Source organism: Homo sapiens, chromosome 9 (assembly GCF_000001405.40).
Source record: "Homo sapiens chromosome 9, GRCh38.p14 Primary Assembly".
In the NCBI taxonomy this organism is placed as follows: domain Eukaryota; kingdom Metazoa; phylum Chordata; class Mammalia; order Primates; family Hominidae; genus Homo; species Homo sapiens.
In genome coordinates this window covers 85,704,422-85,720,781 of record NC_000009.12, presented here as the reverse complement: position 1 = coordinate 85,720,781, position 16,360 = coordinate 85,704,422, and the positions used below count along the sequence as shown (strand labels likewise).

General features: G+C 37.7%; 1 protein-coding gene across 22 annotated transcripts in view; it reads left to right on the top strand.

Annotated features, from left to right (window-relative positions):
- Window positions 1-16,360, top strand: part of AGTPBP1 (ATP/GTP binding carboxypeptidase 1) — a 258,945-nt gene that overhangs the window by 84,702 nt on the left and 157,883 nt on the right. For 20 of the 22 annotated variants that reach the window (XM_047423094.1, XM_047423090.1, XM_047423089.1 and 17 more), the window contains one exon: window positions 8,216-8,280. The exons of the other annotated variants lie outside the window; for them this stretch is intronic. In XM_047423094.1, coding sequence (XP_047279050.1) covers window positions 8,249-8,280 — 32 coding nt within the window. In that variant the 5' untranslated portion in view covers window positions 8,216-8,248. The remainder of the gene's footprint in view (window positions 1-8,215; window positions 8,281-16,360) is intronic. 22 annotated transcript variants of the gene reach the window in all.

The window sequence follows — 16,360 nt, the reverse complement described above, 5'->3', positions numbered from 1 at the left end:
CAGGAAAGATCTAAAATCGACGCCCTAACATCACAATTAAAAGGACTAGAGAAGCAACAGCAAACAAATTGAAAAGCTAGCAGAAGGCAAGAAATAACTAAGATTAGAGCAGAACTGAAGGAGAGAGAGAGAGACACAAAAAATCCCTTAAAAAAATCAATGAATCCAGGAGCTGGTTTTTTGAAAAAAATCAACAAAATAGACCACTAGCAAGACTAATAAGGAAGAAATGAGAGAAGAATCAAATAGATGCAATAACAAATGATAAAGGGGATATCACCACTGATACCACAGAAATACAAGCTACCATCAGAGAATACTATAAATAGTTCTATGCAAATAAACTAGAAAATCTAGAAGAAATGGATAAATTCCTGGACACATACACCCTCCCAAGACTAAACCAGGAAGAAGTTGAATCTCTGAATAGACCAATAACAGGTTCTGAAATTGAGGCAACAATTAATGGCCTACCAACTAAAAAAAATCCGGGACCAGACGGATTCACAGCCAAATTCTACCAGAGGTACAAAGAGGAGCTGGTACCATTCCTTCTGAAACTGTTCCAATCAATAGAAAAAGAGGGAATCCTCCCTAACTCATTTTATGAGGCCAGCGTCATCCTGATACTAAAGGCTGGCAGAGACACAACAATAAAAGAGAATTTTAGACCAATATCCCTGATGAACATCGATGCAAAAATCCTCAATAAAATACTGGCAAACTGAATCCAGCAGCACAAGAAAAAGCTTATCCACCACAATCAAGTTGGCTTCATCCCTGGGATGCAAGGCTGGTTCAACATACGCAAATCAATAAACATAATCCATCACATAAACAGAACCAATGACAAAAACCACATGATTATCTCAATAGATGTAGAAAAGGCCTTTGACAAAATTCAACAGCCTTTCATGTTACAAACTGTCAATAAACTAGGTATTGATGGAATGTATCTCAAAATAATAAGAGCTATTTATGACAGACCCACAGCCAATATCATACTGGATGGGCAAAAACTGGAAGCATTCCCTTTGAAAACTGGCACAAGACAAGGATGCCCTCTCTCACCACTCCTATTCAACATAGTGTTGAAAGTTCTGGCCAGGGCAATCAGGCAAGAGAAAGAAATAGTGGGTATTCAGTTAGGAAAAGAGGAAGTCAAATTGCCCCTGTTTGCAGATGACATGATTGTATATTTAGAAAACCCCATTGTCTGAGCCCCTAATCTCTTTAAGCTGATAAGCAACTTCAGCAAAGTCTCAGGATACAAAATCAGTGTGCAAAAATCACAAGCATTCCTATACACCAATTACAGACAGAGCCAAATCATGAGTGACCTCCCATTCACAATTGCTTCAAAGAGAATAAAATACCTAGGAATCCAACATACAAGGGTTGTGAAGGACCTCTTCAAGGAGAACTACAAACCACTGCTCAACAACATAAAAGAGGACAAAAACAAATGGAAGAACATTCCATGCTTATGGATAGGAAGAATCAATATTGTGAAAATGGCCATACTGCCCAAGGTAATTTATAGATTCAGTGCCATCCCCATCAAGCTACCGATGACTTTCTTCACAGAATTGGAAAAAACTACTCTAAAGTTCATATGGAACCAAAAAGCCCGCATAGCCAAGACAATCCTAAGCCAAAAGAACAAAGCTGGAGGCATCACACTACCTGACTTCAAACTATACTGCAAGGCTACAGTAACTAAAACAGCATGGTACTGGTACCAAAACAGGGATATAGACCAATGGAACAGAACAGAGGCCTCAGATATAACACCATACATCTGCAACCATCTGATCTTTGACAAACCTGACAAAAACAAGCAATGGGGAAAGGATTCCCTATTTAATAAATGGTGTTGGGAAAACTGGCGAGCCATATGTAGAAAGCTGAAACTGGATCCCTTCCTTACCCCTTATACAAAAATTAACTCACGATGGTTTAAAGACTTAAGTGTAAGACCTAAAACCATAAAAACCTAGAAGAAAACCTAGTCAATACCATTGAGGACATAGGCATGGGCAAACATTTCATGACTAAAACACCAAAAGCAATGGCAACAAAAGCCAAAATTGACAAATGGGATCTAATTAAACTAAAGAGCATCTGCACAGCAAAAGAAACTGTAATCAGAGTGAACAGGCAACCTACAGAATGGGAGAAAATTTTTGCAATCTACCTATCTGACAAAGGGCTAATATTCAGAATCTACAAAGAACTTAAACATATTTACCAGAAAAAACCAAACAACCCCATCAAAAAGTGGGCAAAGGATATGAACATATACTTCTCAAAAGAAGACATTTATCCAGTCAACAGACACATGAAAAAATGCTCGTTATCACTGGTCATCAGAGAAATGCAAATCAAAACCACAATGAGATACCATCTCATACCAGTTAGAATAGCGATCATTAAAAAGTCAGGAAACAACAGATACTGGAGAGGATGTGGAGAAATAGGAACACTTACACTGTTGGTGGGAGTGTAAATTAGTTCAACCATTGTGGAAGACAGTGTGGCAATTCCTCAAGGATCTAGAACTAGAACTAGAACCCAGTGATCCCATTACTGGGTATATACTCAGAGTATAAATCATGCTGCTATAAAGACACATGCATACGTATGTTTATTATGGCACCATTCACAATAGCAAAGACTTGGAACCAACCCATATGTCTATCAGTGATAGACTGGATTAAGAAAATGTGGCACAGGTACACCATGGAATACTATGCAGCCATAAAAAATGATGAGTTCATGTCCTTTGCAGGGACGTGGATGAAGCTGGAAACCATCATTCTCAGCAAACTATCACAAGGACAGAAAACCAAACACTGCATGTTCTCATTCATAAGTGGGAGTTGAACAATGAGAACACATGGACACAGGGCGGGGAACATCACACTCCACGGCCTGTTAGGGGGTGGGGGGCTGTGGGAGGGATAGCATTAGGAGAAATACCTAATGTAAATGACGAGTTGATGGGTGTGGCAAACCAACATGGCAATGTATACCTATGGAACAAACCTGCACGTTGTGCACATGTACCCTAGAACTTAAAGTATATTAAAAAAAAAAAAAAAAGGATACTCATCCCATTCATGAAGCCTCCACCCTTATGACCTAATTATCTCCAAAAGGCCCTAACTTCTCATATTGTCACTTGGGGGTTAGCTTTTCAACATAAGGATTTTGGGAGGCACACGAACATTCAGACCATAGCAAAAATGTTCAGTTATTTTTATTTTATTTATTTTTTGAGACAGCGTCTTGCTCTGTCACCCAGGCTGAAGCGCAGTGGTGTGAACACAGCTCACTGCAGCATTAACCTCCCGTGCTCAAGTGGTTGTCACACCTCAGTTTCCTGAGTAGCTGGGACTACGGGTGTATGCCACCATACCTAGTTAATTTTTTTATTTTTTAGAGAAGGGCTCTTGCTATATTGCCCAGGCTGGTCTTGAACTCCTGGGCTCAAGCAGTCCTCCCACCTGGGCCTCCCAAAGTGTTGGGATTGCAGGCGTGAGTCACTGCACCCAGCCTGTTCAGTTATTTTTGAATCATCATGTTTTAGAAGGCAGTAAGTGCTTTGGAAGAAGACAAAGTAGATTCCGGCAAGGGCAATGGGTATGCTAGGGTCTGGAGGTAGTTTGCAATATTAAATAGGTTGGTTGGGATGGGTTGTATTGAAAAGGTGATACTTGAGCAATGGAAGTGGTGGAGTTAGTTATTGGGATATCTGGCAGAAGCACATTCCAGGCAAAAGAAACAGCTTATGCAAAGGCACTAAAGTGAGAGCCTGGCATGTTGGAGGAAAACATGGAGGCCCAGCCAGTGCATCCAGAGCAGAGTGACTGAGAAAAGTTGTAGGTAGGATATGAAGACAGGGAGGTAAGGACTGGGGGTATTCCTCTAGGGTCTTTTATGTCATTGAAATTGGCAGCCGCACAGGGCTTTGAGCAGAGTAGTGACAAAAATCTACTTAAGGTGTTTTTTCCTTCTTCTGTCCCCCAGTGTATTAAAAGGATCACTAAGCATGTTGTGTTGAGAATAGACTGTAGGGGGCATCAGAGGTAGAAGGGAGACTAGTGACATTGTTTACTTGACCGTGGTAGATGTGGTAAAGTGATCAGATTCTGGATATATTTTAAAAGTAGAATTATCAAGACTTTCTGATGTATTGGATGTGGGACAGGAGACAAGGATGAAGCTAAGGTTTTGAATTGAGCAACTGGAGGCATAGAATTGTCTTTAACTTAGATGGGAAAGCCAGAGTAGAGCACACTTGGAAGGGAAGGTCAGATCCGTTTTGCATATGTCGAGTTGGTAATATTATTAGAGATTCAAGTGGAAATGTTGAGTAATTACAAGACTAGATGAGATCACCAAGGAAGAGACTGTAGTTAGAAGAGGACAAGAAAGGACTAAGCCCTGGGCATTCCGTTAAAGGAAACTTAGAAGTGGTCAGTGAGGTTGGGAGAAAGCAAAGTATATAGCCAAATGAAGAAAGCATTTCCAAGAAGAGGATGTGGTCAGCTGTATCAAATGCTGCTGATAGGACAAATAAGATGAGGACTGAGAATTGACAATTGGATTTAGTAACATGGGGATCATTAGTTGTTGATAAGAATGGTGTTGGTGGAGTGGGGTGGGGAAAGTCTCATTGGAATGTGTTTAAGAGAGGATTGGAAGGGAGGACTTGTTGACAGTGTGCATAAACAAGTCTTTGCTTTCAGAAGGAGAGAAATGGGACAGTAGCTGAATTGGGAGCGAGAAAGTTTTTTTCCTAAGACACAGAAATATCATGATTTTATGGTGATGAAAATGATTCAGTAAAGAGGAAAGAGGAGATTATACCTAAATTTCGAGCTCAGTTTTTATCACTTTTTTTCATACATTCTCAGTTCCTCTGCCCTCTTGCTTTATCACACTTGCTTGGCAAAGCCACAAACTTGGTGAAATGCAACACTTCTGCTTCTAGGTGCCTGCACTTTCTGTTACACCATATTGTAATCAACACAAGCTTTCGCAAGATTTTTCATTATGTTCTGGCTTCAGGCTTCAGTAATAAAAAGTGAACTGTAAGGGATACACTGGCCTACTTTAGGATAACAGGGTTGAGAACTGACCTTTTTCCTGGGGGACTCTTAAGCCTAGAAAGCAGAATTCTTTGAGGTTGTCTGTTCCTTTAGTGAAGATTATTTGCCAGGGGTTAGATGCTTGATACTGCTGAGCATGTTCCACAGTGGTAGGGCATGGAGATATGGAGGAGGTAAGAAGTTACTATTTGCAGTTCCAAAGTTTTAGTTAGCCCTGTTTTGTAGTCTTCCTCTGTCGTCCTTGTTTCTGAGTGCTAGGTTCCTAGTTTCCTGAGTTCTTCTTAGCATAATACCTGTTCCTTCTTCCCTCTTAGTTTTCCTTTTTGTCACTAGGTTTAAACATAACCAACCTTCCTTCTTTCCTCCCTCCCTTCTTCAGAATTCTTGTTTGCTTTATTTCTTTTTTTCTTTTTTTTTTTGAGACAGAGTCTCGCTCTGTCACCCGGGCTGGAGTGCAGTGGTGCGATCTCAGCTCACAGCAACCTCCGCCTCCCAGTTCAAGTGATTCTCCTGCCTCAGCCTCCTGAGTAGCTGGGATTACAGGCTTGCACCACCAGGCCAGGCTAATTTTTGTATTTTTGATAGAGATGGAGTTTCACCATGTTTACTAGGCTGGTCCTGAACTCCCAACCTCGGGTCATCCGCCCGCCTTGGCCTCCCGAAGTGCTGGGATTACAGGTGTGAGCTACTGTGCCCGGCCCTTTATTTTTGATAAGCTGCTATTATAAGCTCCTGTTAGAAGTTTTTTAGGCATTACACCACGTTGTCTTGATATTCTGATCATATATACACACATATATATTCATTTTTTCAAGAGATGTTTAACAGATATATACCATATATTGAATTTTTGCCATCAAATATTCTTAAATATGTTATCTTGCAGCATATCACTTTCAAGTTAAAATGCCAGAAACAATACCAATATCTATAATTATTTTAAGGAATGCTATATAATGACACATTAAGGTGTAGATTCTTTTGATTTGTAATTCTTAGAATGATAATAGCAAAAATGATGCAAAAAATCTTCAGTGTGAGATTATGATGAAGCTACATTTTACAATTGTCTTTTTCAACCATAATGAAAATGGTCTTGGTGTCTAGCTGCAGACAGATTTACTCATTCTAGAGCTGCAGGCAGATTTACTCCTTCTAGCTCATTACACACAGGATACATGACTGCATAGAAGGGCATATAAAACGTGGAAATGGCCTCAGCTTCATTCTTCATCTCTTCCATTGTTATCCTCATTCAAACACCAATTACAGTAGAAAAAGCAGTGCTAAAATGCACTTCATTCACTGCAGTATTCTCCTTTTTTGCGTGATTAAAGGATAAGGCACAAAACACACACTGGCAACTGAGGCACTGACTTCACTTCCCACCTATGGACCCTCTTCAGCTCCTGGATCTGTTCACTTTGGTAACGCCAGAGGACTTGAGAGGAACCAACTTTATTTCTTTACTTTTACTGTAATCTAGTCCCAAGAGTAAGAGGAGAGAAATGCCTGTGGTTTATTTTACTGTGAACTGCAAGTTCAAATCATTTCTTATCTGTTGAAATACAGTTGGCTATGATATTAGTGCTCACCATTATTCTTTTCAACTCTATCAACTCTAGTAAAATCCACAGGGAACTTTTCATGAGATGTGCTGTTAGTGTATTAATAGTTTCTTCTGTTTGTGGCAGCAACAGTGCTTTTGAAATCACGTAAGATTTTTTTCTCCCTGTGGATATATAGTGATTTTTACTTAATTTAGAAATAGAAAAAAGTTACTTTGATTTTGTAGTTGTGTCTTAAAAAAGAGTAAAAAAAATTACAATTTAAAATTTCTCATTGACTTTAAAAACAATTCATGTAATTTTTGTACACAATTCTAAATATTTCCTTTTCTTAGTTAAGGAAAATGAAAAAAAATTATGTATGTCGTGTTGAAAAGTTCTGTTATTGAAGACAAACATCCAGAATATCTTCTACTTCATCAGAGTATCTTCCAAATGTATTAAGTTAAACAATTTGAAGTTTGCCCTTTTTGTGTGTTTGTTGTCTCTTTAAATATGACATTACTAAATATTTCATAAGTATGTGATTAACTGGTTTTTTGTTTGTTTGTTTGTTTGTTTTTTTGAGATGGAGTTTCGCTCTTGTCGCCTAGGCTGGAGTACAATGGTACGATCTTGGCTCACTGCAACCTCCACCTCCCGGGTTCAAGTGATTCTCCTGTCTCAGCCTCCTGAGTAGCTGGGATTACAGGCACCTGCCACCACACCCAGCTAATTTTTGTATTTTTAGTAGAGATGGGGTTTCACCATGTTGGCCAGGCTGGTGTCAAACTCCTGTCCTCAGGTGATCCACCTGCCTTGGCCCCCCAAAGTGCTGGGATAACAGGCATGAGCCACCATGCCCAGCCATGATTAACTTTTTGAATTCACAGTAGTTATTCTACTTTTTGGTGATGCCAAAAAATTCTGCTACAGTAAGCATTGGTATTTAAAAGATATTTAGAGTATTTTAGGGTTAATAGTTGCAAAATAAACTTGAAGATTTATAAAAATTGTGTGAATCGAGATTTAAGGTTGTTTAAACATATATAATGTCTAAAAATGAAAACTATTGTTTGAGGGAAGATGTGCATAGAAGCTTTTACTAATTTGAAAATGTTCTTATATGGAAATAACACATATTGACTAGTATTTGACTACTGTGTGAATGGTGTACAGTAAGTGCACTAATCACAGGATGCTGTGATTGGTTTATGTATTTTAAGGAGGAGTATTAGAACAGAAAGCATAATTTGAACTGTCTCAAAAGATCTTAACATTAGGTTGCAAATGACATTATGTTAGGTTTCTGCGTTTTTGTAGCTCCGGATTTTGATAAGTTTCCTGGCTGATTATAGGTATTTTTATAGTCATACATTGCATTCTGAAGCGACCCAGTAGAAGCACATAGAACTCAAATGTTCTCTTTTTGTTTCCGGTGTTATCTTGTGTTGCCCATAATGAAAACTTTCCATTGTATGGCTTCTGTGATATCTAATATATAGAAAAAAGAGTTATAAGTTTTTAATATCATTAACATTTTTCTTTTAGATTATCTGCAATTATGAAATGAAGTAACTCAAGATGAGCAAGTTAAAAGTGATACCAGAAAAAAGGTACTGTAATTCTGAATATCAGTATGCATAAGTTACAGAAATAATGTATGACAGAATTACTTGAAACTCAATACTTGACAAAGTATTATTTGTGTTTAAGTATAATATGTTATATTTATGTAATTAAAAATGTTTATTAATGTTTAACTTTTCAGTTAAAATTGGAATCAGCAAACTATGACCACCTCCTGTTTTTGTGTGGCCTGTGAGCTCAGAATGGTTTTTACTTTTTTTTTTGAGACGGAATTTCACTCTCGTTGCCCAGGCTAGAGTGCAGTGGCACGATCTCGGCTCACTACAACCTCTGCCTCTGGGTTCAAGTGATTCTCCTGCCTCAGCCTCTGGAGTAGCTGGGATTACAGGCACCCACCACCACACCCGGCTGATTTTTTGTACTTTTAGTAGAGACGGGGTTTCACTATGTTGTCCAGGCTGGTCTCGAACTCCTGACCTCAGGTGATCCACCCGCCTTGGCCTCCCAAAGTGCTGGGATTATAGGTGTGAACCTCCATGCCCGGCCGGTTTTTACATTTTTAAATGGTTAAAAAAATAGTATTTTGTGATACATGAACATTATATGTAATTTGCATTTCAGCATCTATAAATAAAGTGTTTTTTTGGAACACAGCCATGCTAATTCATTTACATATTGTCTGTGGCCACTTTTCTATTAAAATGGTGAATTCGAGTAGTTATGACAGGGACTGCATGGCCCACAATGCCTAAAATATATACTATTTGGCCCTTTACAGAAAAAGTTTAGGCTGGGCGCAGTGGCTTACGCCTGTAATCTCAGCACTTTGGGAGGTCGAGGCGGGTGGGTCATCTGAGGTCAGGAGTTCGAGACCAGTCTGGCCAACATGGTGAAACCCTGTCTTTATAAAAAATACAAAAATTAGCCAGGTGTGGTGGTAGGCGCCTGTAGTCCCAGCTACTCTGGAGGCTGAGGCTGGAGAATCGCTTGAACCCGAGAGTCAGAGGTTGCAGTGAGCCCAGATCTCGCCACTGCACTCCAGCCTGGGCAACACAGTGAGACTCTGTCTCAAAAAAAAAAAAAAAAGAAAGAAAAAAGATAAAGTTTAACTGATTGCTGAGTTAAAGCACACTGTATCATCTCTGTTAAAGTTCTTAAATATCAAGAAATTGTCTTAATGTTGGTTTTATTTCTTTCAGTTGAAAGACAATTCTGATTGTATATTGAAATTGTCTTGGCTATACAGTGATGAGCAAATTGTGTAACTTTGTGAAGCCTCAGTTTTCTCATCTGAACAATTACTTTAATGATAATGCTGTTATTATAAGGCTGTGAAGATTAAATGGTATTTGGCTTGGTAATTGACAGTGTATTAATACTGGTAATGAAAGTTTCTGCTTTGTAGCAATGTTCTTATGTTTACGTGTATATAACTTTACATTCATTGGTATGCGTTAAATCTGTTATATAATGAATAGTATACACACTGTTTAGATAAGATTTATTCCTTAAATTGCTAGGTTTTGCAGTTATTAACATGTAATACATCATACCAAATTTGATTTTAGTCACGTACTTGTGTAATTTCTATAGGAAAGGAATTAGGCATTATTTGTATTTTAAAAAGGATCTTTTTAAAAAATGCCTTACTTTTTGCATCAGGTCAAACAAATAATGCTATTTCTATTGATTAGCTAAACTATCTAAAATTACTAGATCATTGTTCATAAAAATGTGAAATTACTTTTAGTTTGAAAGCCTCTGGCTCCTAAGGTCATTTTTAATTTTTTTCTCATGAAGTATATTTTATTGGATATTTGTTTTTTTTGTTGTTGTTGTTGTTGTTGTTGTAGGGTAACTAATTTGGAATCACTGCAAATAGTCTTCGTCTAAAGGAAATTATAATTTCTAGTAAAACTTGTCATACTGCTCTGTGAAGAAAGCTGAATGCAATAAGGCAAATTGAGATAGATAGAAAAGGGTCAAAGCTCCCTTCCTATAGTATGGCATATTGAGACTGTGTTAGAGAACTTACAAGAATGTCTTCTAAGGGTCTGAAAAGGGGGGAGAAATAATACTTCCAGGCTTTGTTTTGAATTTTTTTCTTTCTTCAAATTTGATGAGAGCTCACCAATTTTCACAGAAAATCTTTTGTATACTTTCATGTCTCTAGAAGCTTCTGTAGATACTGTCTTTGATTTCTTCCTTTTTTTCTTTTCCTCTTTTTGATTTATTTCTCAATTATGAAATACTTTTACCTAGCTTGGTACTAAATCTGTGAGAGTAGAAAAGAAACATGAGTATAACACTTAATACAGTGTATTGAAGAAAATGAGTGTAGAATATGTTCTAAAAAAAAGAGCCCTATTCTCTTTTTACACAAAGCCTGTAAACTGATAAAGAATATCTGAACAAATGCAGTATGGCGACTTAACCAGTATATAGTGAAGTGTTAAATTTTGAGGTGTATAGAATTAGAAAATAAGGTACTCATAAACAGGTGTTTATTGTGTGATAGGGACTTGAAGAGTCAAGGGTGGCTTGAGGGTTGGTAGAATATTCAGAATTGCTGAATTTAAACAAAGATTCTAATTAGATAGATTAGATTGGCAGATTTAAAGACCCATGGCAGTAGGTGGCAATTTAAATCAAAGAAGCACGTCTAGTAAAATATTAAGAAGTAGAAATTTTCTCTGCACTTCACTCTTTACCATTATGGTCATGCCCTAAATCTTATCATTAGAAAAACTCTAATTTCAAAATACTAATTTATTCTTTTCATTCTCCAACTATAATCTGTTATCTTTCTAGCTCACTTGCTCAAATATCTGTTCTCTAAGAGTTCTACCTCACCCAGAGCTCTAATCTGTTAACTTTTGTTTTCTCTCATTCATCTCTTCCTCCTCCTCTTCTATACAACAGTATAGAATCTGTTGTCCATTATTACACGTTCTTGCTGATATCTGAGATGTCTTTACCTTGCTTTAAATTTTTCCATCACATCCAAGAGACAAAGTCCTTACCCTGGATAACCTTTATTGAGCAGCTGAATGACATTGGAGGATGAACTCATTTAGTAGGTATCACTAAAAAAATGGTGACAGTGGATATCCTTATCTTGTTTTCTGGTTGTAGGAGAAAAGCATTCTTTTACCTTTAAACATTTTGTTAACTGTGGGTTTCTTAAATGCTTTTTATCAGGTTGAAAAAATTCTCTTATATTCTAGTATGCTGAGAATTTTTTATCCAGTATGAATGTCTGATTTTGTGAAATACTTTTTCTGTCTGTTGAGATGGTTGCAAAGTTTTTCTCTTTTAGTTTATTAATAGGTGAATTATATTGAATGATGTTCAAATATTAAACCAACTTTGCATTCCTGTGATTGATCTTACTTGGTCATGATATATTGTTATTATCCTTTTCATATATTTTTGGATTTGATTTGCTAAAGGGTTGTTTAGAACTTCTGCATCTATGTTCATGAAGCATATTGTAATATTTTTATCTGGTTTTGGTATTAGGTACTAGCCACATAGAATTTTGGAATCAGGAAGTATTTCCTCCTTTTCAGTTTTTTGGAAGAGTTTGTATATAATTGGTATTATTTCTTTGTATGTTTGGTAATATTCATCAGTTAAGGCACCTTGTCTTGGAATTTTCTTTGTGGCAAGTTCTTAAAGTATAAATTCTTGGCCGGGCATGGTGGCTCACGCCTGTAATCCCAGCACTTTGGGAGGCCGAGGCTGGCAGATCACCTGAGGTCAGGAGTTCAAGACCAGCCTGGCCAACATGGTGAAACCCCGTCTCTACTAAAAATATAAAAACTACGGGCGTGGTGGTGGATGCCTGTAATCCCAGCTACTCGAGAGGCTGAGGCAGGAGAATTGCTTGAACCCAGGTGACAGAGGTTGCAGTGAGCCGACACAGTGCCATTGCACTCCGGCCTCGGTGAAAGAGTGATCTGTCTCAAAAAACAAACAAACAAAAAACAATAAAGTATAAATTCACTTTCTTTATTAGATATAGATAGCACTATTCAGGTTTTTCTATTTCTTATTGAGTGAGTTTTGGTAATTTGTGTCTATGGTAGGCTGAATAATGGTCCCTTAGGAGATGTCCATGCCTTAATCCCTGGAACCAGTGAATATGTTACATTACTTGGTAAAAGGGACTGTGTAGATATAAATAAATTGAGCATCTTGATGTAGAGAGATGATCCTAGATTATCTGTGTGGGCCCAGTGTAATCATAAGGGTCTTTATTAAGGGGAAGGCAAGAGGATCAGAGTCAGTAGTAGGAGATGTGATGATGGAAGCAAAAGGTTAGGGTGATGTAAAAAAGAGGCCATGAGCCAATGAATACAGGTGACCTCTAGAAACTGGAAAAGGCAAGGAAATGGATTCTCCCTCAGAGCCTCTAGAAAAACCATTTCTTCTTCTTTTTTTAAAATTATTATTATTTTTTATTATACTTTGAGTTCTGGGTTACATGTACAGAATGTGCAGTTTTGTTACATAAGTATACACGTGCCATGGTGGTTTGTTACACCCATCAACCCGTCACCTACATTAGGTATTTCTCCTAATGCTATCCCTCCCCTAGCCCCCCACCCCCGAACAGGCCTCAGTGTGTGATGTTCCCCTCCCTGTATCCATGATTTCTTATTGTTCAACTGCCACTTATGAGTGAGAACATGCCAAAAACCATTTCTTCTTACACCTTGGTTTTAGCCCATTGAAACTGGTTTTGGATTTCTGATCTCTAGCCTGTAATACAATAATAAGTTCATGTTGTTTTTAAGCAGTGAGGTTAGTGGTAATTGGTTACAGCAGCAGTAGGAAACAAATACTTTCCTGTGAAAATGTTAGGAAGCTAATGTCTTTCAAGGCATTTGTTCATTTCTTCTATGTTGTCCAATTTATAGGCATAAAGTTGTTGAAGTATTCTTTTATCTTTTTACTGTCTAGCATTTATAGTGACGTTACTTTTCCATTCCTAATATTGGGAATTAGTGTTTTGTTTTTTTTTCTCAATCAGCCTGGTTGAAAGTTTATCAGTTCTACTGATATCCTCAAAGAACAAGCTTTTGGTTTCATTGATTTTCCTATGATTTTGCATGTTTCTTTGATTTCTATTTTGATTTTTATTATTTCCTGACTTGTGCTTACTTTTGAGTTTCATGTGCTCTTTTTTTCTTATTTTTTACATTGAAAGCTAAGGTCATTGGTTTGAAAGATTTCCGTTCTACTGTGGACATTTATTGCTGTAAATTTCCCCCTAAATACTATTTTGGTGATATCCTGCTAATTCTGATATGTTGTGTTTTCATTCAGTTAGAAATACCTTCTGATTTCCCTTTTGATTTTTCTTTGATCCATGGGTTATTTAGAAGCTTGTTATTTACTTTCCAAATATTTGAGGGGTTTCTAAAGGTTTTTACTGATTTTAGTTTAGTTCCATAGTTGACTTGATTAGTATCAGCATGATGTATTTTTTCTATTCTTTTACTTTTAGCCTATTTCTATCTTTATATTTAAAGCACATTTCTTGTAGGCAACATGTATTGTGTCTGCTTTTTTTTTTAAAATATATAGTCTACCCTTCTCTGTCTTTTAATTGAGGATTTTAGATCCTATTTATTTATTTATTTTGAGATGGAGTCTTGCTCTGTCGTCCAGGCTGGAGTGCAGTGGCGCGATGTCGGCTCACTGCAAGCTCTGCCTCCCGGGTTTACGCCATTCTCCTGCCTCAGCCTCCCGAGTAGCTGGGATTGCAGGCGCCTGCCACCATGCCCGGCTAATTCTTTTTTTTTGTATTTTTAGTAGAGATGAGGTTTTACCGTGTTAGCCAGGATAGTCTCGATCTCCTGATGTCGTGATCCGCCCGCCTCAGCCTCCCATAGTGCTGGGATTACAGGCGTGAGCCACTGTGCCTGGCCCTAGATCTTCTATATTTAATGTGTTTAAAAATATGATCTTACTATTTCTTTTCTTTTCTTTCTTTTTTTTTTTTTTTTTGAGACAGAGTCCCACCATGTGGCCCAGGCTGGAGTGCAGTGGTGCAATCTTGGCTCACTGCAACTTCCGCTTCCCGGGTTCAAGCAATTCTCTGCCTCAGCTTCCTGAGTAGCTGGGATTACAGGTGCCTGCCACGATGCCTGGCTAGTTTTTTGTATTTTTAGTAGAGAAGGGGTTTCACCATCTTGGCAAGGCTGGTCTTGAACTCCTGACCTTGTGATCCACCCACCTTGGCTCCCAAAGTGCTGGGATTACAGGTGTGAGCCATTGTGCCTGGCCTATTTATTTTCTATATGTCTCATTTTTTATTCTCTTCTTCCTCCTTTTCTTCCTTCTCTTAGATTAATGAATATTTCTTCCTGTTTCCATTTCATCTTCTCGTTGGCGTAGCTCCTTATTAGCTAGAACTCCATTTTGCTTTAGTGATTTTTATAGGGTTTATACTATACATCTAGTATACTTATCATAGTCTATCTTTTAGTGATACATCACTTCCTACATAGTATAAAAACCTTCCATAGTCCAGGCGTGGTGGCTCACACCTGTAATCCCAGCACTTTGGGAGGCCGAGGCGGGCGGATCACAAGGTCAGGAGATCGAGACCATCCTGGCTAACATGGTGAAACCCCATCTCTACTAAAAATACAAAAAATTAGCTGGGTGCGGTGGTGGGCACCTGTATTCCCAGCTACTCGGGAGGCTGAGGCAGGAGAATAGCGTGAACCCGGAAGGTGGAGCTTGCAGTGAGCCGAGATCATGCCACTGCACTCCAGCCTGGGTGACAGAGCGAGACTCCGTCTCAAAAAAAACCCAAAAAAACCTTCCACTTCCCCTCTCTCTAACCTTTGTGCTGTTTGTCATACGCTTACTGTTACCTATGTTATAGACCCAGCACACTACTTTTAGTTTAGTTAATTGTCTTTTAGAGAAATTTAAATAATATATAGTATCATTGTCTTATCACTCATTTTCTACTTCTTTTTTTCTTTTTTAATGAACAGAGATATGTCTTGCTATGTTGCCCAGGCTGGTCTGGAACTGTTGGTTTCAAGCTGCCCTCTTGCCTCAGCTTCCCAAAGTGCTGGGATTACCGGTGTGAGCCACCACTCTTGGCTACCTGGCTGCCTGCTTTTTTTCTGAAGATAATTCTGTTGTCATACTTATCTTAGTTCTTCTGTGTATAGCCTGTCTTTTGTTATTTGGCTGCTTTTTCCCATTTTCTTTTAAAAATCACTGATTTTGGAAGGTTTGATTATGATGTCCCTTGATGTAGGTTTTTTGTTTTTTTTTTTAATGTTTCTTGTGCCTTTAGTTTATTGAGCTTCTTGGGTATGTAGCTTATCAAAATTGGAAAAATTTTGGTCATAATTTTATTACATATTTCTGTTCTTTTCTCTCTCTCTTGTCCTTCAGGAACTTCAATGAAATGTATATGTCTTTCCTTGAAATTGGTTCACAGTTCACTGCCCTGTCAAATTTTTTCTCCTAATTCTTTTTTCTCTCTCTTTTATTTTGGATACTTTTTATTGCGTGTCCTCAAGTTCACTCATCTTTTTTTTCTGACACATAAAATTTGCTGTTTATCTTATACAAAGTATATTTCATCTCAGACATTGTAGTCTGATTTGGGACTTTTTAATATTTTTTAAGTGACTAGTTTTGCACACACGTAATATAGTTACAACACCTATTTTAATATCCTTGTTTATTAATTATAATGTTTGTATCTATTCTTTGTTCATTTTGATTGTTCCCATTATAGATTGTACTTACCTGTTTCTGTGCATGCCTGGTAACTTTTGATAGGTGATTTTTACCTTCTGCTGTCCTGGACATTTTTGTATTCCTTAAATATTCTTGAGCCTTATTCTGGGATGCAGTTAAGTTACTTCAAAAAAGTGTGAATCTTTTGAGTCTTTCTTTTAATGTTTGTTAGATAGGACTGGAGCTATTCTCAGTCTATCTGACTAAATTATTCCTTACTACTGAGGTTAGACCCCTGTGTGTACTCTATCCAGTGTTCTGCTAATCATGAGATTTTAAAATTTTGATTGGTGGGATCAGACACAATTCCCTGTCCTGTGATTA